The sequence below is a fragment of the Homo sapiens genome, chromosome 16, assembly GCF_000001405.40.
Source record: "Homo sapiens chromosome 16, GRCh38.p14 Primary Assembly".
Classification (NCBI taxonomy): domain Eukaryota; kingdom Metazoa; phylum Chordata; class Mammalia; order Primates; family Hominidae; genus Homo; species Homo sapiens.
Genome location: NC_000016.10, coordinates 16,378,218 through 16,405,856, shown reverse-complemented (window position 1 = coordinate 16,405,856; position 27,639 = coordinate 16,378,218). Strand labels below are relative to the sequence as shown.

At 47.1% G+C, this 27,639-nt stretch overlaps 1 protein-coding gene and 1 pseudogene across 1 annotated transcript; one reads left to right on the top strand and one right to left on the bottom strand.

Moving 5' to 3' along the window:
* PLA2G10FP (phospholipase A2 group XF, pseudogene) lies at nucleotides 7,263-10,945 on the top strand (annotated as a pseudogene).
* Nucleotides 11,885-26,717, bottom strand: NPIPA7 (nuclear pore complex interacting protein family member A7). Its single transcript, NM_001282507.2, has 8 exons — nucleotides 26,550-26,717; nucleotides 22,065-22,193; nucleotides 18,359-18,458; nucleotides 18,051-18,195; nucleotides 14,983-15,090; nucleotides 13,906-13,966; nucleotides 13,761-13,796; nucleotides 11,885-12,401 (listed from the first exon to the last, which is right to left on the bottom strand). Exons 1-8 carry the CDS (start codon nucleotides 26,610-26,612, stop codon nucleotides 11,934-11,936), a joined length of 1,110 nt encoding a protein of 369 aa, NP_001269436.1. The 5' UTR covers nucleotides 26,613-26,717; the 3' UTR covers nucleotides 11,885-11,933.
* Between the last annotated feature and the right edge of the window lie 922 nt (nucleotides 26,718-27,639).

The window sequence follows — 27,639 nt, the reverse complement described above, 5'->3', positions numbered from 1 at the left end:
CAGCTGCTTTTGCACACGTTATGTCATCTGCTCCTTAGCACTCTATGAAGCAGGCAGAACAGGTCATGGTATCCCCATTTCATAGATAAGGAAACTGAGACCCAGAAACATAGGATACAACAGAGAGGAAATGATCAGGTGGGTGAGAAGCTATGTTTGTCTGGCCCCAAAGCCTGGGTTCCCCAAAGCCCTCTGCAGGCTGATATGAGCCTAACCCCAGCCCGGCTCCTGGCTCTCAGCCATCTCATCCTCCCAGCCCAGCTATGGGGAGCAAGATACCTCCTACCATGTCCCTTGCAGCCTTCCTCCCTCGCCTGCAGGGGCTTCCTGCCTGGAAAGCCTGTTCCTTTGCCCTTCTTCTCCAGAGGATTCACGTACCTCAGCACATGTTCGACGACAAAGTCACAGCACTGCAGGGACACCTCCCCTGGAGAGGAACACGATGGTAGAGTGGAAGGGGCACAGCTTTGCCATTAGAATGCCTGAGTTCAAATCCCAGCTCAATCACCAACTGGTTGGGTATCCTTAAGCTCTTCCAAGGAGTGGGGGATAATCCAATCCATCCCCACAGGATCCTGGTGGGGATTAAATGAGATGCTGTATGTAAAACATCAACACAGGGCCAGGTGCCATGGCTCACACCTGTAACACCAGCACATTGGGAGGTGGAGGCAGGAGAATCGCTTGAAGCCAGGAGTTTGAGACTAACCTGGGCAACACAGCCAGACCCCTATCTATACAATAAAATGTCTTTTTAATTAGCTGGGTGTGATAGCCCATGCCTGTAATCCCAGCTACTTGGGAAGCTGAGACAGGAAGATTGCTTAAGCCCAGGAGTTCAAAGCTGTAGTGAGCTATGATCATGCCACTGAACTCCAGCCATGGTGACAGAACTAGACCCCAACTCTAAAAAAATAAAAAACATTAAAAAAAAATCAGCACAGTGCCTGGCATACAGTCAGCACCTAATAAGTAGTAGCTGTTTTTTGTTTTTTGTTTTTTTTCCATCTCTGAAAAAAAAAATTAGCCATTTTTTAAAATTAGCTGAGTGTAATGGTATATCTCTGTAATCCCAGCTACTTGGGAAGCTGAAGCAGGGGGACTGCTTGACCCCAGGAGTTTGAAGCTTCAGCGAGCTATGATTGTGCCACTGAACTCCAGCCATGGTGACAGAACAAGACCCAATCCCTGAAAATAAATAAATCAATTGGCACAGTGCCTGGCATATAGTCAGCACCTAATAAGTAGTAGCTGTTAGAATAATTACAAAAGGCCAGGCGTGGTGGCTCACACCTGTAATCCCAACACTTTCAGAGGCCAAGGAGGGTGGATGGCCTGAGGTCAGGAGTTTAAGACCAGCATGGCCAACACAGTGAAACCCCATCTCTGCTAAAAATACACACACATGCAAAACAAATCACTGGGCATGGTGGCACATGCCTGTAGTTAGTCTCAGCTTCTTGAGAGGCTGAGGCAAGAAAATCACTTGAACCCAGGATGCAGAGATTGCAGTGAGCCAAGATAGTACCACTGCACTCCAGCCTGGGTGATAGAGCAAGACTTTGTCTCAAAACAAACAAACAAACAAAAACAAAAAAAACACTCAAATCATGGGATTGAGTGTTCAATCATTCAATCAATTTTTATTGAATGCCTACTACATGCTAGGTACTTAGGGATATAACAGGAAATAAGACATACGTGATTCTACCTTAATGAAACTTAGAAGAAGGAATATACTTATGGTATAGTGAAAGAAACATATTTATTAGAAATCAAACATAAAAAGCATAAAAAGTGTTGAAGAGTGCTCTAAAAGAACAGAGGTTTCTGTGAATCATCTACTTTATTTATTTATTTATTTATTTATTTTGAGACAGAGTTTTGCTCTGTCACCCAGGCTGGAGTGCAGTGGCGTGATCTCAGCTCACTGCAACCTCCACCTCCCAGGTTCAAGCGATTCTCCTGCCTCAGCCTCCCAAGTAGCTGGGATTACAGGCACCCGCCACCATGCCTGGCTTATTTTTGTATTTTTAGTAGACACGGGGTTTTACTATGTTGGCCAGGCTGGTCTTGAACTCCTGATGTCAGGTGATCTGCCTGCCTCAGCCTCCCAAAGTGCTGGGATTACAGGCGTGAGCCACTGCACCCAGCCCAGAATCATCTACTTTAGACTGAGGCATCTGAGACGTGCTCAAAGGACATTTCAGTGGAGAACCATGGGTGTGAAGGAGGGAGTCACACGGAGACTGGGAAGGGACAGACCTTTGTAGGACAGACGGCAACACGTGCAAAGCTTGTGCTGGGAGGTGAAGGGAGAACAACTCGCTGGAGGAAGCAAGGAAGAGGAGATTTAGTTAGAGCAGACAGCCAGGATCAGAGCATGCAGGGTCTGATCATTTATTTCCAAGTTATTCTGAAATCAAAGAGAAGCAGGCTTTTAAGCTAAGAATGCAGCACATCGGCTGGCATAGAATAAGAGTTCAAAAAAAGTGTAAGCTCCCTTCCCTCTCCTGAAACAACCAAAGTAAATAAAAATGGCCCCTCTGTTTTGAATTATTTATTTATTTGTGCTTTCAAACTGTTTTCTTAAAAAAAAAAAAACTACAGAGTAGTGAGTGGGGGCGGGGGGGTAAGGGGTGGAATACTCAAAACGTGTTCAAAATCAAACGAGCCAGAAACTCCTCGCTGGAAATTTTCTCTCTAGATCTCTGCAGGAATCAGTGGAACCATGAGAGACAGAGTCGAAAGCAGCAGAGCCTGGAATTATTTCTCTAAGCAAGACCCAGACGCCAGGCAGGTAGTGAAATTGCTCCTGCCCCACCTCCATCCTTGCTGCCTATCTGAGAACAGAGTCTGCCAACCCCTCCTGATGAGAGACTGACCCCTCATAGCCACTGCAGGCTGGAAGCCATAAGCTTAAACCACTTCGATACCATGAAAGCAAAATGTATGGTTGGCAAAAAGCAAAAAAAAAAAAAAAAAAAAACTGGTTACTGGCGAGTGCAGAACCACAGTCTGGGTCGATGACAAATTATCCAGCATGAATCTTGGTGTGACTTAGGCCCCTCTTAGTCCTCTAAAATTCATCACATTTTGTTTATTCGTTCACTACCCACTTACAGTAGATGCCAAGAAATATATATAACAAGATTATAGATATAAATTTAAAATTAGGACTAAAGAAAGATAATCTAGAATAAGAGGTAAAAGCAGAACAGAGCAGGATGGAAGGTAGAATAAAGATATACAGGCCAGAAGGCCAGTTACTAAACTGGATTTGAGAACATGGCGCTGAGTTCCCTGGTGGCCAAGTCAAAAAGGGCAGTTGGAGATGTTCTCATGGTCCACAAAAAGAAACACACTTAACTTTGCAGAACAAGCACTGTCCTGCCGTGTGACCTCAGATAAGTGATTTAACCTACTTAGACTCAGCTGCCTCATTGCCAAAAAGTTAGTGAAAATTATTGAATGTTTAGGTAAAAAGTTGTAATAAAAAACAAGAATGGGAAAGGATTCCCTATTTAAAATGGTGTTGGGAAAACTGGCTAGCCATATGCAGAAAACTGAAACTGGGCCCCTTCCTTACACCTGATACAAAAATTAACTCAAGATTGATTAAAGTCTTAAATGTTAGACCTAAAACCATAAAAACCCAAGAAGAAAACCTAGGCAATACCATTCAGGACATAGGCATGGGCAAAGGCTTCATGACTGAAACACCAAAAGCAATGGCAACAAAAGCCAAAATTGACAAATGGGATCTAATTAAACTAAAGAGCTTCTGCACAGCAAAACAAACTATCATCAGAGTGAACAGGCAACTTACAGAATGGGAGAAAAGTTTTGCAATCTATCCATCGGGCTAATATCCAGAATCCACAAGGAACTTAAACATATTTATAAGAAAAAAACAACCCCATCCAAAAGTGGCCGGAGGATATGAACAGACACTTCTCAAAAGAAGACATTTATGTGGCCAACAAACATGTGAAGAAAAGCTCATCATCACTGGTCATTAGAGAAATGCAAATCATTGTCAGAGTGCTCAGAGAGGGCATGTTCCCTGGGTCTTGGTGGATTTAGAGGTCAAGGGACCATTTCTGGAAGCTCACTGTGTGCCAGGGCAGCTTATATCAGAGCTCCGCTCTTTTTCTTTTTCTTTTTTTTTTTTAAGACAGAGTCTCACTGTTGCCCAGGCTGGAGTGCAGTGGCACCATTTTGGCTCACTGCAACCTCCACCTCCCGGGTCCAAGAGATTCTCCTGCCTCAGCCTCCTGAGTAGCTGGGACTACAGGCATGCACCACCACCACACCTGGCTAATTTTTGTATTTTTAGTAGAGACGGGGTTTCACCATGTGAGCAAGGCTGGTCTCGATCTCCTGACCTCAGGTGATCCACCTGCCTTGGCCTCTGAAGGTGCTGAGATTACAGTCATGAGCCACTGCGCTTGGCCAGAGATCTGCTCTGGAAGACCCCCCAGGCTGGAGGGCACTGCCACAAGCAGACAGTATGGCGAGGGTCCCTATGACCACCTGGCAGGCAGGGTGGATTCTGGAGGGAGGTGGCCTGGGAGCAGGCTGAGGATGGGGTGAGGGCATTTGAGCAGCAGAGTGTCTGCGTGACCGGGCATAACTGGAGGGACAGTAAATGACTCTTGTGTGAGAGGATGAGGGAGGGGTGAGAGGGGCTGACTACCCCCAGGACTTGAGGTGCAGTGAGACTCCTTAGCTTTAACCAGACTCATGGGAGCCATGGAGGTTTGAGGCAGAGGTGTGGGCTGCTGGGAGAGTGAGGACTCACCATCCAGAGAGGAAGGTGAAGCTTTCAACTCTAAATGCCGTTTTATTTTCGTGTGTTTTTTTTTTTTTTGAGACGGAGTTTCACTCTTATTGCCCAGGCTGGAGTGTGATAGCACGAGCTCGGCTCACTGCAACCTCTGCCTCCCGGGTTCAAGCGATTCTCCTGCCTCACCCTCCCAAGTAGCTGGGATTACAGGCATGTGCCACCATGCGTGGCTAATTTTATATTTTTAGTAGAAACAGGGTTTCTCCGTGTTGGTCAGGCTGGTCTGGAACTCCTGGCTTCAGGTGATCCACCCGCCTTGGCCTCCCAAAGTGCTGGGATTACAGGCATGAGCCACTGTGCCCGGCCCCAAATGTGTTTTACATTTTCTTCCTATTTGATTCATCTTTGTCGTGCAACATAAATATGCTACTTTTCCACTGATAAAAAGACAAAATGGAATTTAAAATTGGCCTGGACTTCTCAAAAAAGTCAGTGTGATGAAAACATGTTCTAGATAAAACAGAAATGAGACTGGGCATGGTGGCTCATGCCTGGAATCCCAGCACCTTGGGAGGCCAAGGAAGGAGAATCACTTGAGGCCAGGAGTTTGTGACCAGCCTGGGCAACATAGTGAGACCGCAGATCTACTAAAAATTTAAAAATTAGCTGGGCATGGTGGTGCATGCCCGTATGTCTGGAGGCTGAGGCAGGAGGATCGCTTGAGCCCAGGATCTGGAGGCTGAGGCAGGAGGATCGCTTGAGCCCAGGATTTGGAGGCTGCAGTGAGCTATGATTGTGCCACTGCACTCCAGTGTGGGTGACAGAGTGAGACCCTGTCTCTATTTAAAAAAAGAGAGACAAGATGATCAGGATGAGCGCAGTGGCTCACGCCTATAATCCCAGCACTTTGGGAGGCCAAAGCAGGTGGATCACATGAGGTCAGGAGTTTGAGACCGGCCCAGCCTAGATGGTGAAACCCCGTTTCTACTAGAAATAAAAAAATCAGCTGGGTGTGGTGGGGCACGCCTGTGATCCCAGCTACTCGGGAGACTGAGGCTGGACAATTGCTTGAACCTGGGAGGCAGAAGTTGCTGTGAGCAAGATGACACCACTGTGCTCCAGCCTGGGCAACAGGAATGAGACTCTGTCTCAAACAAAAAAAAAAAAAAAAAAAAAAAAGGGATGATCAAACACAATGCGTCAACCTCCCGGAGCTGTTGTGAGCAAGATGACACCACTGTGCTCCAGCCTGGGCAACAGGAATGAGACTCTGTCTCAAAAAAAAAAAAAAGGGGATGATCAAACACAATGCATCAACCTCCCGGAGCCGTATAAACCCTAAACCTAAACCAGGAAGCAGGCAAGCCTGTGTGTGAGTTTCCACTCTATTGCTGGTACCACTCGGCTCTGGCAACCTGGAAGGCCACCTTCCCCTGTTGTTACTGTGTAAGGAGGAAGGAGCACTGGTTTGCAAGTCAGAAGCCTGGGTTGAAGCCTCTGCTTGAGTTCCTGCTGGCTGTGGGAATGTGGGGTTACCTTTCCCGGCTGGCCTCGTTTCCTACATGTCCAATGCAGGGGTTCCAGTCACATGCATTGGGCACCATTACATGTCCAAGCTGTGCCAGGATCTAGATAAATGGCTGGGCTCAGTCCAAGGGGCCTTCCTATCTGGCAGTGAAAATAAGAGGAGATACCAAGGGCCCTGAGCCTGAGTCTGGAGGAAAAGTCATGAGCACAGGGCAGTGCCAGGGCCTGGGAGCTGCCACAGAGGAGCCCACCTTGGTGACAGACACCTGTAGGCTCATATGATGCCGAGTGCCCAACACAGGGAACTGGACAAAGGTTTCATGCACGACTCTTTTCCCTCCTTGGCTACCTTGAGGACCTTGATTATAATAGTTAGCCTTTTTTTTTTTTTCTTTTTTTGAGACTCTTGCTCTGTCGCCCAGGTTGGAATGCAGTGGCAAAATCTTGGCTCACTGCAATCTTCGCCTCTCAGGTTCAAGTGACTCTCCTTCCTCAGCCTCCCTAGTAGCTGGGATTACAGGCGTGCACCACTATGCTCGGCTAATTTTTGTATTTTTACTACAGATGGGGTTTCACCATGTTGGCCAGGCTGATCTTGAACTGCTGACCTCAGGTGATCTGCCCGCCTGGGCCTCCCAAAATCTTGGGATTACAGGTGTAAGCCACTGAGCCCAGCCGGATTATAATAGCCTTTTCATGCACCAGGGGCTTTATACTCATTATCTCATTTCATTCATATGAGTTGAAGTCAGCTTATCCCCCATTTCACAGATGAGGAAACCAAGGCCCAGAGAGGTTAGGAATTTGTCCAAGGTCACACAGCCAGGAAGTAGGATTCAAACCCAGACAGCCAGGCTGTAACACCTAGGCTCCTCTCAGGCTCATGCCCTTCCCAGGGGTCTGGGAAGCCCTGACCTGCAGCCTGTCACCTTTGTTTACCCCCCAGCCTCCAGGATATTATGTGTGCACCGGCGTGGGATCCTGGAACTGGCAGGAATTGTGGGTTGTGTTGGTCCCTGAACTCCCATCGCCTATGTGAAATATGGTTGCTTTTGTGGCTTGGGAGGCCATGGCCAGCCCCGCGATGCCATTGACTGGTGAGTGCATGCCTGGGACCAGGCTGCAAAATCCCTCACACTCTGGGGTAGTCAAGGCTTATGAGGAAGTACCCAAAACTGAAGCTGGGGTTTGGTCCAGGGAGATCCCAGTGTGCAGTACTACTTTGCAGGCAGGCAGAGGCCTCTTGGATAACATGGCCAGTGAAGCCAGATCTTGGTACTAGCTGTGCCTTACCCTGGCCATGGGCTGAAAACGTTGCCTTAAAAAATTGGCCAGGAGCGGTGGCTCACTCCTGTAATCCCAGCACTTTGGGAGGCCGAGGCCGGCAGATCACTTGAGGTCAGGAGTTCAAGACCAGCCTGGCCAATATGGTGAAACCCCATCTCTACTAAAAATGCAAAAATTAGCTGTGTGTGGTGGCAGGCGTCTGTAATCTCAGCTACTCGGGAGACTGAGGCAGGAGAATTGCTTGAACCCGGGAGGCGGAGTTTGCAGTGAGTTGAGATTGCACCGCTGTATTCCAACCTGGACAACAGTGCCAAACCCTGTCTCAAAAGAAAAAAATAATAATAATATAAAGTGACCAGGTGTGTTGACTCATGCCTGTAATCCCACCACTTTGGGTCGAGGCAGGAGGATCACTGGAGCCCAGGAGTTTGAAACGAGCCTAGGCAACAGAGTGAAACCCTGTCTCTATATTAAACACACACACACACACGCGTGCACACACACACACACACACACACATACAAAGGCAGCCAGACTATGCACTAGGAACTGCCCTGGGAATCCCTTTGTGTTCTCACAACAATCCCATTTCACATGAAGAAACCTAGGCACAGAAATATTCAGTAACGTGTCCAGGTGCGGTGGCTCACGCCTGTAATCCCAGTACTTTGGGAGGCTGAGGCAGGCAGATCACGAGGTCAGGAGTTCGAGACCATCCTGGCCAACATGGTGAAACCCCGTCTCTACTAAAAATACAAAAATTAGCTGTGTGTGGTGGCAGGTGCCTGTAATTCCAGCTACTCAGGAAGCTGAGGCAGGAGAATTGCTTGAACCCGGGAGGCAGAGGTTGCAATGAGCCGAGATCACACCACTGCACTCCAACCTGGGTGACAGAGCAAAACTCCGTCTGAAAAAAAAAAAAAGAAATATTAAGTAACTTGTCTGAGGCCACATAGTTACCAAGACGTGGGAGCTGGGACTTGAACCCAGGCAGTCTGGCTGGATTCATGCCTGCAGCCTCTGCACTCCTGCTACTTACTGTGTGAGAAGCGTCTGTTCTGTGGAAGGTTGTGGGCTGAGATCTTTCCATGACTTCCACTCATTTACCCCCAAGGCTGTTCTTAAAGACGGGCATGACAGTTATGCCCATTTTACAGATGGGGCCCTGAGGCTCACAAGGGCACGCCATTCACCCATTTCCACAAAGCTATAGTTAGTTAGCAGAGGGCAGAATTCGGCCGCCTCTCCCCTAGCTTGTAGGCTGTGATTGACACAGAGGTTTTTTTGTTGTCGTTGCTGTTGTTTGTTCCTTTTTCTTTTTTTTGAGACAGGGTCTTGCTCTGTCATCCCGGCTGGAGCGCAGTGGTGCGATGTCAGCTCACTGCAAACTCTGCCTCCAAGATGCAAATGATTCTCGTGCCTCAGCCTCCCAAGTAGCTAGAATTACAGGTGTGCACTACCACGCCCAGCTGTTTTTTGTAGAGATGGGGTTAGTAGAGATTTGTTTAATAGAGACGGGGTTTCACCATGGTCTCTACTAAACCCTGTCTCTACTAAAAATACAAAAATTACCCAGGCGTGGTGGCACATGCCTGTAGTCCCAGCTACTCAAGAGGCTGAGGCAGGAGAATCACTTGAACCTGGGAGGTGGAGGTTGCAGTGACCCAAAATCATGCACTCTAGCCTGGGGTCTCGCTTTTGCCCAGGTTAGAGTGCAGTGGCACAATCATAGTGGCTCACTGCAGCCTCAAACTCCTGGGCTGAAGGGAATCCTCCCACCTCAGCCTCCCAAGTAGCTAGGACTATAGGCATGTGCCATCATGGCGAGTTAATTTTTTGTGTGTTTTTATTGTCTCGAGACAGAGTCTTGCTCTGTTGCTCAGGCTGGACAGCAATGGCGTGATCCTGGCTCACCGCAACCTCCACCTCCTGGGTTCAAGCAATTCTCCTACCTCAGCCTCCCGAGTAGCTGGGATTACAGGTGCGTGCCACCATGCCTGGCTAATCTTGTATTTTTAGTAGAGACAGGGTTTCGCCATGTTGGTCAGGCTGCTCTCGAACTCCTGACCTCGTGATCCACCTGCCTCGGCCTCTCAAAGTGTTGGGATTACAGGCATGAGCCACTGAGCCTGGCCTGGTGACTAATTTTTAAATTTGTTATAGAGACAAGAGTCTCTCTTATGTTGCCCAGGCTGGTCTCGACCCCCTGGCCTCAAGTGATCCTCCCACCTCAGCCTCCCAAAGTGCTGGGATTACAGATGGGTGTCACCGCACCTGGCCTCTGAGGAGGATTTCATTATAAACCTGCCCTGAAGGGAGGGAATCCAATTTTACGAGAGGGTGTAGCCTGGTGAGGCCTGGATGACCTCCGGAGGCAGGGGCTTGTGCCTGGGCTGAGGCCTAAGGGACAATGGGCAGACATGAAGTTGCCCCAGGCAGAGGGTACAGTGTGGGCAAAGTCAGGAAGTGGCAGGGCTTGGATCACTCCAGGAAGAGAGAGGAGTCATGTGTCACAGGAGCTCAAGACCCAGAGAGGGAGGCAGGCAGGCAGGCAGGGACCAAGCTTGGGCACAGCCAGGAAGGCAGAGGGCATGGTGGGGCCAATGGAATCATTACCCAAGACGGGGATTTTCAGGGAAACAGCTTAGATAAGGCCAGGTGTACAGTAGCTCCCACCTGTAATCCCAGCATTTGGGGAGGCTGAGGTAGGAGGACTGCTTGAGCCTGGGAGTTCGAGACCAGCCTAGGCAACATAGTAAGACCCCATATCCATAAAAAATTTAAAAAAGGAGTTTGTGTTCCTGTAGTAGCAGACTTGGGAGGTTGAGGTGGCAGTATCACTTGAGCCCAGGAGTTCAAGGCTAAAGTGAGCTGATTGAGCCACTGCACTCCAGCCTGAGCAACAGAGAGATACGCTGTCTCAAAGGAAATACAAATTAAAAAACCAGCCGGGCATGCTGGCGTGTGCCTGTAGTCTCAGCTACTTGGGACGCTGAAGTGGGAGGATCGCTTGAGCCCAGGAGTTCAAGGCTGCCGTGAGCTATGATTGTGCCTCTGCAGTCCAGCCTGGGCGACAGAGAAAGACCCTGTCTCTTAAAAAAAAAAAAAAAAAAAATCTTAGATAAGAGGATGCTGTGCCTCCCTGGGGGTCTTCAGTCACCCATAGTCCTGGCAAGAGAGGAGGGCCAGGAGAGAGCTTCACCCACCTGCTGTCCTGCCCATGTGACATCCGCAGGTGCTGCCATGGCCACGACTGTTGTTACACTCGAGCTGAGGAGGCCGGCTGCAGCCCCAAGACAGAGCGCTACTCCTGGCAGTGCGTCAATCAGAGCGTCCTGTGCGGTGAGTCCCCAGCAGCACCATGCCACCCACCCCGAGTATCCCCTGGGCACCCTGGCATAGCCAGATGACTTCCGTGCCCCTGTTGCAATAACCACTGCTTCCAAGTCTCTATAGACCACCCCTTGGGTATATCTAATGTAAGTGATATTTATTTTATTTATTTTTTGAGTCAGTCTCGCTCTGTCACCCAGGCTAGAGTGTGCTGATGTGATCTCGGCTCACTACAACCTCTGCCTCCTGGGTTCAAGCGATTCTCATGCCTCAGCCTCCCAAGTGGCTGGGACTACAGGCATGCACCATCACGCCCAGCTAATTTTTGTATTTTTTCAGTAGAGGTGGGGTTTCACCAAGTTGGCCGGGCTGGTCTCAAACTCCCCACCTCAAGTGCTCTGCCCGCCTCGGCCTCCCAAAGTGCTGGGATTACAGGCATGAGCCGTGGTGTCTGGCCCTAATGTGAGTGATCTTTAACACTGAGCACTTGAAAAAGAAAACCCTGAAGAAACCTAATTCTTTGATGTCTGGATGACAAGGAAGAAGATAGAAATGGCATCAGATAATAAACAGTGTAAATGTTTATCAGAAAGAGGCTGGTGGTCGGGACAAGTAGGAGGATTGCTTGAGTCCAGGAGTGCATCTCTACAAAAAAGTTAAAGGATTTTTTAACATTGGCCAGGCGTGGTGGCACACATCTGTGATCCCAGCTACTTGGGAGGCTGGGGCAGGAGGATTGCTTGAAGCCCAGGAGGTTGAGGCTGCAGTGAGCTGTGATCGAGCCACTGCACTCCAGCCTGGGTGACAGAGCAAACTCCAGTCTCAAAAAAAAAACAAATAATAATATTTTACATAACCAACCACTTCTAAAGATTAAAAAAACCCCTACGATTAAAAACCTCAGGTCCCTCAGGCAATCATACCAGATATTGAAACAAAGCAATAACATAAGGACTGCAGTATTCATTTTATTTTTATATTATTTATTTATTCTTCCTTAGTTTCTTGAGATTATCATCCGCTGAGGGTGGAAGGGGAGTGAGCAGACACACTCAGGAGGTGTCTTGAGATTATCATCCGCTGAGGGTGGAGCTGAGGGTGGAAGGGGAGTGAGCAGACACTCGGGAGGTGTCTTGAGATTATCATCCGCTGAGGGTGGAAGGGGATAGAGCAGGCACTCGGCAGGTGTCTTGAGATTATCATCCGCTGAGGGTAGAGCTGAGGGTGGAAGGGGAGTGAGCAGACACTCGGGAGGTGTCTTGAGATTATCATCCGCTGAGGGTGGAAGGGGATAGAGCACACACTCGGAAGGTGTCTTGAGGCTCAGGGAGTTATCAATTATAGAATGTTGTTGAGTTGGAGGAGGTGGCTGGTGGCCCATCCTGTTTTTTAAAGTTTCAGCTGTGAGGTAGGGCCAGTAGGGCAATCCTGAAGAATGACGATGCTCCACTGCCGCCATTCTGACCTGTAGGGCCAAAGGAGGGAATGTTTTCACACATATTCATTTGATGGACAAAATTACCGCCACCAACACAGTCTGCACCTTCTGTTGCTGGTGATAGATTTTTGCACCTTTCCATCCTCCAGGTTTCAAAATAGCAGTGTCAGTGTCATAATATCACCCTTCCACTGAGTACTGCCGACAGCTAGGGGGTAAAGAAAAGTCATTGGGACACACTGTTGTCTCCACATGCCACTGTGTCTGTCTGCAAATGTAGGCAGGCTGGGGTCCTGCCCCAGGGAAGACAGAGTCATAACAGAGTAATAAAGAAGCATGTTTGAGACACAGGAGTGTCTATGTCTATCCTCATTCCTCCCTCACAGCCATCACCAGAGCATGTTTCTTGCACCAGGTCAATAGACAGTAAGAGACAGTAAGAGAGGCATGAAAAGCCCATTGTCCACACATGTTGCAGCTTCTTTTTGGAGAATGTTTTCCAGGCCTTTTATGTTCTGTCTCTGATTCTCAGAACTCTGCAAGGTCAGTGTGACCACCCTGCTCCAAATCTAAGAAAACAGAGGTTTCCAGAGGAAGGAGAAATTGTGCCCAGGGTCACACAGCTTGCAAGAGGCAGAGTGGAAGTTGATTCCAGCTCTGCCTGCAGGACCCTCTCATTTCCCCTCTGTTTCCCTTCTTGACAAAGGATCTTCTTCACTCTGGAGGTGCCACCCATGAGAACAAAGAGCTCTGGAGAGATGTGGATTCCTGAAGAGCTGCAGGGGAACTGGGAGAGGGTTTTCTGACAGAACAATCTTACCTCAAGAAGTCAGTTAGGCATGGCTGTAATATTTCTTTTCACTCCCAGGTAATACCAAATTGTAAGTGCACTAGGACATAAAGAATACTTTTGTCCATGGAAAAATGAGGTGGGAATTCTAAACAAAGCAAGTTTTAAAACTGTGTTTCACTTCAAGTGTACAAGTCCCATCGCGTGTAATCATAGGACTCGGCAGCTTTTGAAGGTACAGAGGCCACACAAGAACCAGCTTAGCTGAGCATCATTTAAGGCCCTCATTTGGAATTGTCCCTGTGGGTAATAAGTTACATTCACTCTTCACTAATTTACAGTCAGGGCCCATTTGCTATTACAAATACGGAACCTCTGACACTTAGAATATTAGATGGGGGCCCCACTGGGTGGGGATGAAGGTGTTTTTGCGCAACACAGTTACCAACAGGGATGGGACTGTGATGCTTGTAGGCAGCCTTCCTCTCTGCCATCTCCCTCTGCAGGGCTTGAGCACAGAGCCGTAGGGAGAAAAATGTATCCATGTCCTGACCTGGCAGACTATGTCCAAAAGCAAGGAAAACAAGCAAACTTACCCGGTTGCAAAGAGGCTTTCTTGCAGAAGGGGTGATCTGAAAAAGCCAACACATGAGAAATTGAATGTTGAGAGAGTCTAAGGGCCGTGGCATCATCTGCATCAGCACTGAACTATCCTGCAACTGCGGGGAGGAAGCTCCTTACTTTGCATCTGTAGTAGTCCTCTGCCCGCCGCCGCAACGCTTGCGCACGTTGAAACATTTCCCTATGGATTACAATCACTTTCATCAGATAAAGCACCACTTTCAGGATGATTTTAAATAATCTGCCATGTTTCTGTTATCCTCACAACTGTACCCTTACACAATCTATCTCTACCTAGAAAACGTATTTCAGATGGCTAGAAGAGTACAGTCTGAGCCGGTCACGGTGGCTGACGCCTGTAATCCCAGCACTCTGGGAGGGCGAGGCGGATGGATCACGAGGTCAGGAGATTGAGACCATCCTGGCTAATACGGTGAAACCCCGTCTCTACTAAAAATACAAAAAATTAGGCGGGGGTGGTGGCAGGCACCTGTAATCCCAGCTACTCGGGAGGCTGAGGCAGGGGAATCACTTGAACCTGGGAGGCGGAGGTTGCAGTGAGCCAAGATCACGTCATTGCACTCCAGCCTGGGTGACACAGCGAGACTCCATCTCAGAAAAACAAAAACAAAAACAAAAACAAAAAAAACTGTACAGTCTGATCCAAACTGTTGCTATATTGATTCCTCCTCTTGCTTACTGCCTGCTGACTTCTGAGATGATAGTTTCCTTCCCCATTCTCAGTATATCCCTAATTCATCCTTCATTGAGCATCTTTTATCATAAAGCTGTATTCTCTTTGTATTAATATCTTTACCGTGTTTCACAGGGCAGAAACAGCTGGGCTTATAAACAGGCATAGTCCTTTTGAAGGATGTGGTTGATCCTACAACAACACACTTTCCTAAGGATGACAACAACTCACCCCACCCCTAGAATGGCTGGTATGAACCGAGTTTCCACACAGTCTAGCTGGCAATGGGGTCAGGAGCCGTTTTGCTACTTCACATCTTTTGGTCACTGGTAAATATTAAGGTACTTTGTTTTCTGTTTTGTGAACTCTCTCTCTCTCACGATATGTCTTCTGACCATTTGTTTCTATTTCTGCATTTACTGGGTCTAAACATTGTACAAAGGTTAAAAACAACACTCCAATGGGCGTTTCCCAAGAGGGTGGGGTTCAGTTTCTGAACTCACATGTAGGTGTGTATTTCTTTCATATCCAATTTCCCATTTTCCTCTGCCTCTGACACCTGCCTCTCCTCTTCTCTGTGCTCACGTTCTTTCATGCTTAGTTTCCTCAGACTAGAAGGGAGAGAAATGCACACACATGATCCACCAGCCCGTGTGGGATTCCCTCTGCCCTTCTGGCATCTGAAGGCTGTGATTCAAAGATCCCCCCTGCAACCTTCCCACAAATGAACCAACTGATTCTCACAACTGAAGGGAGAATGGACACCTCCCATTGAGGGATAAAAAAAATCACACTCTGGCCTGCTGGCAAGTCACCTGTCATTTCCAGCTCATCTTCATAGTTCCATAGTTAGTCCTATTCTTTAGTAAATATAAAGACTATTAAAAGCTTCTATGAGGTGCACTATGTGCGTCTCTGGGGTCAGTCTTGTGCTTGACACAGCGAAAGCTCATTTTAGTTCAGTGTGAAAAACCAGACCTCACCAATTCATCACAACTAACTCCATCGGAAGCAGAGGATTGCTCCTCATCTGACTCCTCCTGTGTGAGACCTGATTCTCAGTCAGAGGCTGATGCCGGAACTGAGACCATCAGCCATAGAGAGATCCTTCCAGAATATGGTGTCATTAACCCCGCAGTTCACTACTGCACTTTGCCATGATTCAGGACTGGAACTCTTGTCATCGACTTTAAAGATCCTGAAAAGGCAATCTGAATGCTGGGCGCATCTATTGAATTAGAAATGATCGGAATGGCTCCTAAGTCAGGGTGTTATGTCCTGAAAATAGGTGACAACGGCAAACCATCCACCCTGGTGTTGACTGACTTTAACAAGGTTCAATTCACAGAGATTGAGGGCAGAAAAAGGAAACGGCCTCAAAAGGGTAAGTTTGCTGTGTTGCCCTCACACCACTTGATTCATGGTCCTGATCCTAAGGATCTCACCTGATACTTGGTTTTATAGGAAGGATGTGTAAAATTCCCAGAACGCTAGGAAACAGGGACGAAAACACTTCAAAGAGAAAGTTAATGAACTTGTTTCTGACCACAGGGCATCCTTCAGCACATGCTGTCTGGAGTGGCCTCAAACAAGGAGTGTGTGGTGAGGTGCTGACAATGCAATGGGAGCAGGGTCCTGTCCCCACGCTAAAGAAGCTCACAGTTTAATGCAAATGAGAAGCCAGTGAGGACATCACTACTCCTGCTGTGCACTTGGGAACTAGAAACACAAAACCTGACTCTGGAGGGAAGCTAAGGAAGCATTCTACTCTTGAGTTGACATAAGTGCATCTGAAGCTTCTGATCTCCGATGAGAACAATGGGGGACACCAAACAGAATATAAAAACCATGATTGAATACATCAAATTGCTAACATGGCAGTAAACAGACATGAGGTGAAGATGGAGAAGAAGGAAACCCAGGACGAAAGTCAGCCTCGCATTTGGAACCCATTTCCCTGAGTTTCATTGCTGAATTCCAGAAGGAACTACTGAGATGCAAAGAAGCACAGCAGCTTTTGCACACATGCGTGGGGTTAGATGGAAAACAAGTGGATTGAGGGTCTGCCAATGAAAGCGATCCATACTGAAGTCCACTGGCTCTGGTTGAGACCCAGAAGAGTCATGCATCAGAATAGAGGTGGACAGGAAATACCCTGGCCTTTGTAGGGACTGAGCCTGCAGAGACGACCTCAATTGCAGCCTGTACGGAGGACCCCTGACCATCCCCCAGAAGTAGACTCCCATCTCTTCTGCAGCAAGATAACATGCTACTAGGCCTCAATGCATTGTTAAATATTTTTTAAAAAGTATCTCACATTTAACAAAAAAAGATCAGTCATATGGCAGCAAAATACAATGTAGTATGACCAAAACATGAAAGACTGTGAAAATGAATCTGGAGGTGACCCAAGCATTGAATTCAACAATCCAGGCTGGGTGCGGTGGCTCACACTGGGAGGCTGAGGTAGGCAGATCACCTGAGGTCAGGAGTTCAAGACTAGCCTGGCCAACATGGTGAACCCGTCTCTACTAAAAATACAAAAATTGGGCTGGGCACGGTGGCTCACGCCTGTAATCCCAGCACACTGGGAGGCCGAGGTGTGCGGATCATGATGTCAGGAGTTCTAGACCAGCTTGGCCAATATGGTGAAACCCCGCCTCTACTAAAAATACAAAAATTATCTGGGCATGGTGGCATATGCCTGTAGTCCCAGCTACTCAAGAGGCTGAGGGATAAGAATCGTTTGAACCTGGGAGGCGGAAGTTGCAGTGAGCCAAGATCATGCCACCGCACTCTAGCCTGGGTGACAGAGTGAGACTCCGTCTCAAAAAAAAAAAAAAAAAAAAAAAAAATTGGCCGAATGTGGCGGCACACACCTGTAATCCAAGCTACTCGGGAAGCTGAGGCAGAATTGCTTCAAACTGGGAGGCAGAGGTTGCAGTGAGCCAAGATTGCACCACAGCACTCCAGCCTGGGCGACAGAGCGAGACTCTATCTCAAAATTAAAAAAAAAAAAAAAAAGGCTGGGTGCTGGGTGTGGTGGCTCACGCCTCTAATCCCAGCACTTTGGGAGGCTGAGGCGGGTGGATTACCTGAGGTCAGAAGTTCGAGATCAGCCTGGACAACATGGTGAAACCCCATATCTAGTAAAAATACAAAAATTAGCTGGGCATGGTGGTGGGCACCTGTAATCCCAGCTACTTGGGAGGCTGAGGCAGGAGAATTGCTTGAACCCAAAAGGCAGTGAGTTGAGATTGTGCCATTGAACTGCAGCCTGGGCAACAAGAGCAAAGCCCCATCTCAGGAAAAAAAAAAAAAAAAAAGAGAGAGAAAGGAAAACCAATGCAGTACTAGCAACTCCTCTTCCCCTGAAAAAATGACAAACAAGAATGTAGGAAGGGAAAGGAATTATACAGCTTAAACTAATGAAGCAGAAAGGACAAACTCAATTTTGAACCCACTGAATTTGCCACAAATATTGTCGAAAATATTCTCAAGGACTTTACAGTTGTCTACTTTGATTGGCACATGGTTCATACAACAGTATTTGTGTCAAGGCACATCTTACTGTTCTTTGGCGGTCTTCCTCTTTCCATTGATTTTGTCATGACGGTTGACTTTTGTTGTCACCTTCATCTTACGGATTTTAGCTCGAACTTTGGTTTCCACCTGTCTCCATAAAGTAAAGATGTCTTCCAGGACAATTTTAATTCCTGGAAAGGAAGAAACTCTTTTCTTTGTGTGCATACAAATGGACTTCAGCCCTTGGTGAGAGTGAGGAGAGGAGAAGGTGAGAAACCTGAGGGCAAGAAGCTGTTCTTTCCCTTTCCAGGGCAAACTCATTTCCACACTATGGGGACTCCAACAGAGCCATACCTTCCTGTCTACGGCGGTTGGACCTCCTGGCTCTCTGCTGTACATCCGTGGATCCATCATGTCCATTTTGAGATGGGAAGATAGTCTTCAGGAAAGACACCTAGGAAATAATAATATAAGAATGACGGCTGGGCACGGTGGCTCATGCGTATAATCCCAGTACTTTGGGAGGCCGAGGCAGGTGGATCACGGGGTCAGGAGTTCAAGACCAGCCTGGCCAAGATGGTGAAACCCCGTCTCTACTAAAAATACAAAAATTAGCCGGGCATGGCAGTGGGCGCCTGTAATCCGAGCTACTCGGGAGGCTGAGGCAGAGAACCGTTTGAAGCTGGGAGGCGGAGTTTGCAGTGAGCCGAGATCACACCACTGCACTCCAGCCTGAGCGACAGAATGAGACTCTGTCACACACACACACACACACACACACACACACACACAAAGAATGACATGAGGCTGGCAGGGTGGCTCACTCCTGTAATCCCAGTACTTTGGGAGGCCGAGGCAGGCGGATCACCTGAGGTCGGGAGTTTGAGACCAGCCTCACCAACATGGAGAAACGCTGTCTCTGCTAAAAATTCAAAATTAGCCAGGCATGGTGGTGCATGCCTGTAATCCCAGCTAGTCGCGAGGCTGAGGCAGGAGAATCACTTGAATCCAGCAGGAAAAGGTTGTGGTGAGCTGAGATTGTGCCATTGCACTCCAACCTGGGCAACAAAATTCAAACTCTGTCTCAAAAAAAAAAAAAAAAATAGGCCAGGTGCTGTAGCTCACGCCTGTAATCCCAGCACTTTGGGAGGCCGAGGCGGGTGAATCACAAGGTCAAGAGATGGAGATCATCCTGGGCAACATGGTGAAACCCCGTCTCTACTAAAAATACAAAAATTAGCTGAGCATGGTGGCCCACGCCTGTAGTCCCAGCTACTCGGGAGGCTGAGGCAGGAGAACTGCTTGAACCCAGGAGGCAGAGGGTGCAGTGAGCCAAGATCCCACCACTGCACTCCAGCCTGGTGACAGAGTGAGACTCTGTCTCAAAAAAAAAAAAAAAAAAAAATGACATGAATATACTTCACACAACTGAACTGTACACTTCAACACGGTTAGATGGTAATTATCATCTTGTAAGTATTTTACCACAGGTTAACATGTTTCACAACTTGAAAAGGAAGTAATTACCTTCAGCTCTCTGAGTTCTAGAATTTGTAACATTTCACCCCCTGCTCCTTCCTGATCTGCACTGGAGCATCTTTCTTCTGTCCCTGCTCTACTCAGAGTTCACTTTCCCTTCCCTCACATCAGCTTCGTTGAGGCTGGTTTGAACTTAACGCAAAACATTCTCACTAATGACTGAATTCCCACCAAGATTTCCATATTATCACAGTATGCTTTTAATCTTCGAAGATATTAAATATTTGTTCTCATCATAGCTAAAATGCAATGCAAATCCCATCTCAGATGTGGGTCAGATACCTATGAATCTCCTGAGGTAGTCATTGAAATGACTTTTTTCTTGAGACGGAGTGTCACTCAACCATGCTGAAGTGCAGTGGCACTACCTTGGCTCACGGCAACCTCCACCTCCCAGATTCAAGCGATTCTTGTGCCTCGGCCTCCCAAGTAGCTGGGATTACAGGTGCCTGCTACCATGCCTGGCTAATTTTTGTCTTTTTAGTAGAGATGGGGTTTCACTATGTTGGCCCATCTGGTCTTGAACTCCTGACCTCAAGTGATCCACCTGCCTCAGCCTCCCAAAGTGCTGGGATTACAGGCATGAGCCACCACACCTGGCCTGAAATAATATCTTTCAAATTCTTTGTAGAACTTGTTTTTTCCTGATTTCTGCACATAGGATTAAAAAAAAATCATGTACTAGGATTTCAAGAGAAGCAATGGGTAATCTAAAAAGATGAAAAGAGCAACCACGTCTATCCCACAGCTACTGCTAGATTTCATAGGAAAGGTAGCTGGCCCAGTTTGGAGCTAGGAGAAATGTCAAACACATGAAGAAATGAGAAGCAAAGAAATGCCATCACACATGAATGCTTCATGGCACCCATGATGTCCCTGCTTAGGAGGTAATGGTATAGATGACTAGATGACAAGGACAAAGATGAGAGGTGCAAAGTTGTCCAAGTCCAACAGCTCAACTGAACTTTCCTAAATGGAATTGTTAAAAAGTGGTAAATTTAAAAACTTCCCCTGGCTCACGTGGTGACTCACGCTTGTAATCCCAGCACTTTGGGAGGCTGAGGCGGGTGGATCATTTGAGGTCGGGTTTTGAGACTAGCCTGGCCAACATGGTAAAACCCCGACTCTACTAAAAATACACAAATTAGCTGGGCATGGTGGTGGGCACCTGTAATCCCAGCTACTTGAGAGGCTGAGGCAGGGGAATCACTTGAAGCCAGGAGGTGGAGGTTGCAGTGAGCCGAGATCACACCATTATACTCCAGCCTGGGCAACAGAGGGAGACTCCTCTTGGGGGTGAGAAAAGAAAAAAAAAAAAGCTTCCTCCAATTTATACCGAAAATTCTCTGTTCAGGACTAAGTGGCATAGAGAATGTTAAATGTGCCTAGATATCTTCATAACTCATATATTTTCTGTTTTCTACATATCTTGAAAGGCAGTGCCAAATGACGTGTAATTATCTAGGCGGTAAAACTGAAACATACTTCCTCTTCCCTTGAATATAAAAAAGCATTGTGGTTTAGTACTTTTATCTTGGATCATTGTTCAGAAGGAGGTTCAGCCCCCACACAACCACATTTTTATTGTCATGAATGGCAAGACAAAATGTAGAGCTCAACTTACGCAAAGGATAAAAGGCTCAAAAGACAAATTATGGCACAACTTAGCAGCCAAATTCTTACCAAGTATAGACTTTTGACATACTGATCTCATTCCAGTTGCAAGTGGGAACATGCACTTTGAATGATGTCATTCAAAATTACCCTGCCCAGACACACTTTTCATTGATTCTCTTGGAGGGCAGTTCTAAGAGATTCTGTGGGGCTTTCTCTGCATCATGAGACGCAGTGCAGTTCTGCCCTTCACCTTCCGGCAGTTTGTCACCTCGTCCCTATGACCTCAGAGGAACTTTGTCTCAGGCCAACTGTTTGTTCCTTGGGCTCTTTCATTTCCCCTAAAAATCATTTGCTGCCCCTCTAAATGGCCTACATCTCCATCTATCTCCCTCTACCCTCAGAAGAGGGTGCTCTTTAAGCATCAACCATCCAGCCCTTCTAGCAGTCTCATTTTTCAGCTGGTTCCCATGTTTATGCCTGTTCTATGTTTTTCTTTTCCTGTTAAGCTGTCTGTTGTCAGCTCATTTCTGCAGTGAATCTTCAGAGAGGAGATTGGAAGCTTTCCTTCCACCCATACGATAGAACTATAAAGCAGAAGAGTTTAGAAAGACTTTCCCATTTAAGTGACGAAATCTCATACTCCATTTGTGACAAATAGCACAAAGGTTAAAAAAACTTATTTTTGACCAAAAGCTCTGTTGACATTCTATTAAACACCGACCTATTTAATTTTCATAATGTAAATGGCAGATATTTTCATAATTCTTATGCTAATAAATCATTTCCCTGATTTTTTGGGTAAAACCACATATTCATAATGAAGTCCAGAAACGTGAATTGTTTCATATAATTTATTCTTATTTGTGATTACAAGTATACCTCTACAGAAAGTTAGTATACTCACACAAAGGTAACTTGTGCAGAGGGAGATGGCAAATTTATAACTTCTCAGAAACACAGTAATGATAAGTAACCAAGGACTTCCACCAAAGTCAGTCCCACGATGACGATGGTCAGCCAGAGTATTGATAACCTGGAATAATAATAGTTGAAATAATGAAAAGGTCAATGACACTGACAATATTTCACTCAGAAAGAATCATCCTTAGAAACCGTCAACCTCCTCCAAAAGGTAACCACATCCCTCAGATATCACCGTGGGATTCCACTGCTACAAAAAAGAACAGAAGTTAGAGAAGTCTCATGTTTTTCAGATGGCTGGTAGTGTTTTTAGGCATTGCAAATGTGGGGTGTTGTCTTTCTTGGTATAAAGCAGGGATATCCAATCTTTTGACTTCCCTGCCTATATTAAAAGAAGCAAAGTTGTCTTGAGCCACACATAACATACACTAACACTAACAATAGCTGATGATCTAAAAAAAAAAATTTTTTTTTTTTTTTTTGAGACAGAGTTCCGCTCCACTCAGTCGCCCAGGCTGGAGTGCAGTGGTGCAATCTCGGCTCACTGCAACCTCCAGCTCCTGGGCTCAAGCCATTCTCCTGCCTCAGCCTCCCGAGCAGCTGAGATTACAGGTCTCTGCCACCATGCCCGACTAATTTTTGTATTTTTAGTAGAGATGAGGTTTCACCATGTTGGCCAGTCTGGCCTTGAACTCCTGACAGGCGATCTGCCTGCCTCGGCCTCCCAAAGTGCTGGGATTACAGGTGTGAGCCACCGTGCCCGGCCATTTTTTTTGTTTTTGTTTGTTGTTTGTTTTTGAGATGGGGTCTCACTCTGTCACCCAGGCTGGAGTGCAGTGGTGTGCTCTCGGCTCACTGCAACCTCTGCCTCTCAGGTTCAAGTGATTCTCCTGCCTCAGCCTCCTGAGTAGCTGGGAGTACAGGTGCCTGACAGTGCACTCAGCAAATTTTTGTATTTTTTGTGGAGATGGGGTTTTGCCATGTTGGCCAGGGTGGTCTCGAACTCCTGACCTCAGGTAATCTGCCCGCCTCAGCCTCCCAAAGTGCTGGGATTACAGGCATGAGCCACTGTACCTGGCCAAAATCTCCTAATGTTTTAAGAAAGTTTACAAATTTGTGTTGAACTGCATTCAAAACTGTCCTGGGCCACATGCAGCCCGTCACTCATGGGTAAGACAAGCTAAGTATAAAGTAATTATCTTATCTTTTATTTTTGTTTTGAGACAAAGTCTTGCTCTGTCACCCAGGCTAGATTGCAGTGGCATGATCTCAGCTCACTGCAACCTCCGCCTCCCGGGTTCAAGCGATTCTCCTGCCTCAGCTACTGAGTAACTGGGATTACAGGCGCCTGCCACCACGCTCGGCTAATTTTTGTCTTTTTAGTAGAAACAGGGTTTCACCATCTTGGCCAGGCTGGTCTCCAACTCCTGACCTCATGATCCACCTGCCTCGGCCTCCCAAAGTGCTGGCAATACAGGTGTGAGCCACTGCACCTGGCCAGTAGTTATCTTTTCTTTAGTTATTTACTTGTTTTTTAAATTGATGTATAACATTGGATGCATTTATTATATATCACATGGTAAAAGAATCCCTCTAAATAATACTTCTCTCTTGGATTATATGAATCTTTGTCATTTAAAGCTCAGCATAAGTAAAAAAAAAAAAATACAATGAAGAGATTACTTCATTCACAAATAAGTATCGAATTTTAGTTCTTAAAAAGTAACAAGGTGGGCTGGGCGTGGTGGCTCACGCCTGCAATCCCAGCACTTTGGGAAGCCGAGGTGGGTGGACCGCGAGATCAGGAGATTGAGACCATCCTAGCTAACACGGTGAAACCCATCTCTACTAAAAATACAAAAAATTAGCAGGGCATGGTGGCACGCGCCTATAGTTCCAGCTACTTGGGAGGCTGAGGCAGAAGAATCACTTGAACCTGGGAGGTAGAGGTTGCAGTGAGCCAAGATCGCACCACTGCACTTCAGCCTGGGTGACAGAGCGAGACTCTGTCTCAAAAAAAAAAAAAAAAAAATTACCAAGGTGGAGATCATGAAAATGGCATGAATAGCGTGGGATTTCTCTAAGATTGTTGATATTAATTCCATTAGACTCTTATGTGAGTGAAGACGAAGACTTCCCCTGAGTAAGTTCAGACAGCTTCTGATAACATTTCTACATCGATTCCTCAGGATTTAACTATATATTCTTGAAAACATCTCAATTTTAAATGTTTCTTTCAAGATGGTGAATTAAACAGAGATAGCCCTTCAACAGGTTGAACTCAGCATATGCTGAGTCTGAAATGGAAATGATGGAGTTAGAGAACCGTACAACAATGGTAATGATTTCAGAAACATGGTGTTGAGCAGAATAAAGCAGACACAAAAGAGTACCTATGGCATGGCATGCATCTGTATACGCGAAATTCCAGAATAAGCAAGCTAAGCTATGATAAGAAAGAGACTGGCTGGGAAGAGTGAGAGTTCACTTTCTGGGGTGACATAATAGTGTAGATCTTGGCTGGGCACGGTGGTTCACGCCTGTAATCCCAACACTTTGGGAGGCCGAGGCAGGCGGATCACCTGAGGTCGGGAGTTCAAAACCAGCCTGACCAACATGGAGAAACCCTATCTCTACTAAAAATACAAAATTAGCTGGGAGTGGTGGCACATGTCTGTAATCCCAGCCACTCGGGAGGCTGAGGCAGGAGAATCGCTCGAACCTGGGAAGCAGAGGTTGCGGTGAGCTGATATTGCCCCATTGCACTCCAGCCTCAGCAACAAGGGAGAAACTGTCTCAAAAAAATAAATAAATAAATAAAATAATGTAGATCTTGAAAGGGGGTTGGTTTATGCTGGTGTATGTACTTTCCAAAGTTAGTAAACTTACACTTAAGGTTATATATTTTGGCCAGGCGCGGTGGCTCACGCCTGTAATCCCAGCACTGGGAGGCCGAGGCAGGCAGATCACGAGGTCAAGACATGGAGACTATCCTGGCGAACATGGTGAAACCCAGTCTCTACTAAAAATACAAAAAGTAGCCAGGCGTGGTGGTCTACTAAAAATACAAACATTAGCCAGGCGTGGTAATCTGAGCTACTCAGGAGGCTGAGGCAGGACAATTGCTTGAACCCCGGAAGCGGAGGTTGCAGTGAGCCGAGATCTTGCCACTGCACTCCAGCCTGGGCAACAGAGTGAGACTCTGTCTAAAAAACAAACAAACAAAAAAAAGTCATCAAACCAGATGACACAAATCAAATGACATTTCACTTTGTTTTGGTCCGTTTTGTCTGTTGGAGACAAGAGTGCAACAGCGCCATCTCGGCTCACTGCAACGTCCAGCTCCTGGGCCCAAGCGATCCTCCCACCTCAGCCTCTCCAGTAACTGGGATAACAGGTACGCACCACCAGGCCCGACTAATCTTTTTTGGAATTTTTTGTAGAGATGGGGTTTCGCTATGATGCCCTGGCTAGTCTTCAACTCCTGGACTCAAGTGATCTGCCCACCTCAGCCCCCTAAAGTGCTGGGATTACAGGCCTGAGCTGTGTAATTTCATGCCGCGTGACACAGCCCAGTAAAAAGGAAGAAACCCCGCGGGTCCAGCGTCTACTCACACAGGTGGACTGATGGCTGATAAATCCCAGCAGGAGCCAAAAGAGCAGCCACAGCACCCATCTACTCACACAGGTGGACTGATGGCTGATAAATCCCAGCAGGAGCCAAAAGAGGAGCCAAAAGAGCAGCCACCGCACCCGCATGTCCTGGTCCTTTCAGGGCGCCCTGAGGCAGCCAGGACAGAGGTGGAGGTGGCTTAGGGCAGGGGGGAGGGAAGGGGACGGGGACCGGGCCGGATCTGAGTTGGGGAGGGGGAGGGGAGGGGGAGGGGAGGGGGAGGGGAAGGGGGGAAGTAAGGGAAGGGAAAGGAGGAGAAGGGGGCTGTTGGGGAGGAGGAGGAGGAGAAGAAGAAAGGGGTCTGGGAAAGGATCCGGTTCAAATTAAGTTCTCAAGCGCTGGTGGAAGGTTTAGCTACAGGTCACGGAGAAGATCAGGGAAGCAACAGGACAGGCGGGGCAAGGGAGCGTGAGGCTTAGGAGCAATTAGAGGGAGACAAAGGTTCTGCTTTCCACCAAACCTTCTTCGGTCTGGGCCCTCCCTTAGCAACCCTGGGGCTTTAGACTCTCTCTCCACCAATCCCTGATGACCCCGGTGGTGCCTCACAATGGACATTCCAAGTAGCGCCCGCATCATCCCAATGACCCCTCCCCCATCTCAGTCCCCCACGCTCCTCCCAAGGCCAGGTCCTCTCTGGAACCTTCACAAACCTGACTTCTGGTCCTCCCCAACCAGCTCCCTGTCCCTGCTTCTGGGCGCTCCTTCCTTCCTGAGCTCCCAGGGTTCCTCAAGGTCACTTTTGGCGACAAAACATAAAAAACAAATGATGGCAGGATGGCAGGAAGAACCTCATACCCAAGCAGAGTGCCAGGTTGTACAGCCTCCGCTCAGCCATTCATATCCTAAGCAACAAAACATCAGCAGGATGCGGAAGGTCCCGATAGTAAACCATCTCCATCACATCCATGTAGCCATCCGTCCATCAACCTGTATCTCAGGAACAAATGTACATACATTCATTTTAAGCATGCATGGTACATTTACAAAAATTAACCTGACTTATTTTGTTCCAGCAAATCTCAATATATTTGAGAGCAATCAAATCACACAGCATGTTTCTGATCATAAAACTGTGCTAGAAGTCAATGATTAAAAGCTAATTCAAAATTATTATTTGCTTGGAAATTCAAAGTGCCCTTATAAGACATAAACATAAGAAAGAATCCAAAATGAAACAAGATTGCCTTTCAACTCAATGATGAGATCATAACATGGCAATAAAATGTCTCCCTCTGGCCTGGGAATTCCTCTTTGTGGCACAAGGTTGTGTGATCTCAAATCACCCCTAACCCACCTAGACATTTTAACATCCGAAACTGAGTGATGATGTCCTTATCTATGTCATCTTACTGCCCGTGTGTGTGGACTTTAAATTCTGAACCCAAATGAGGGGGAGAAAACCAAGCTGACTTTCATGACTGAGCTCTCAGGGACGTCCAAGGAATCTGTGCATTTCAAGAAACAAAGTTCATCAGCTTCTCTCCTAAGGTATTTGCCCACAATACCCAGAGGGCTTGGCCGCATCATGTGTGATGGGTGGGGAGCTCCAAGCAGGCGGGCAGGACCCAGGGGCCTGGTGACCAGGACAGACCCCCACTGTCCATCACCTTTCCTGGCCCTGTCCTCAGCTAAACTTCCCACAGGCCTTCTGCCCGATCACACAGAGTGTGCCCAAACTCTCTCAGGCCTCTGGCAGCTGAAAACCACTGCTTTAAATCCCTTTACCATTTACTATGACATAAGGTTATTGTAAACAGGAAATATTCTATTGATGCTACAAATGGAAAGCCAATGCCTTTACCATAAATAGAAAAACAACCCTAAGAAACAAGCAAAACAAAAACAAAACAGGGGCTGGGGGTGGTGGCTCACGCCTGTAATCCCA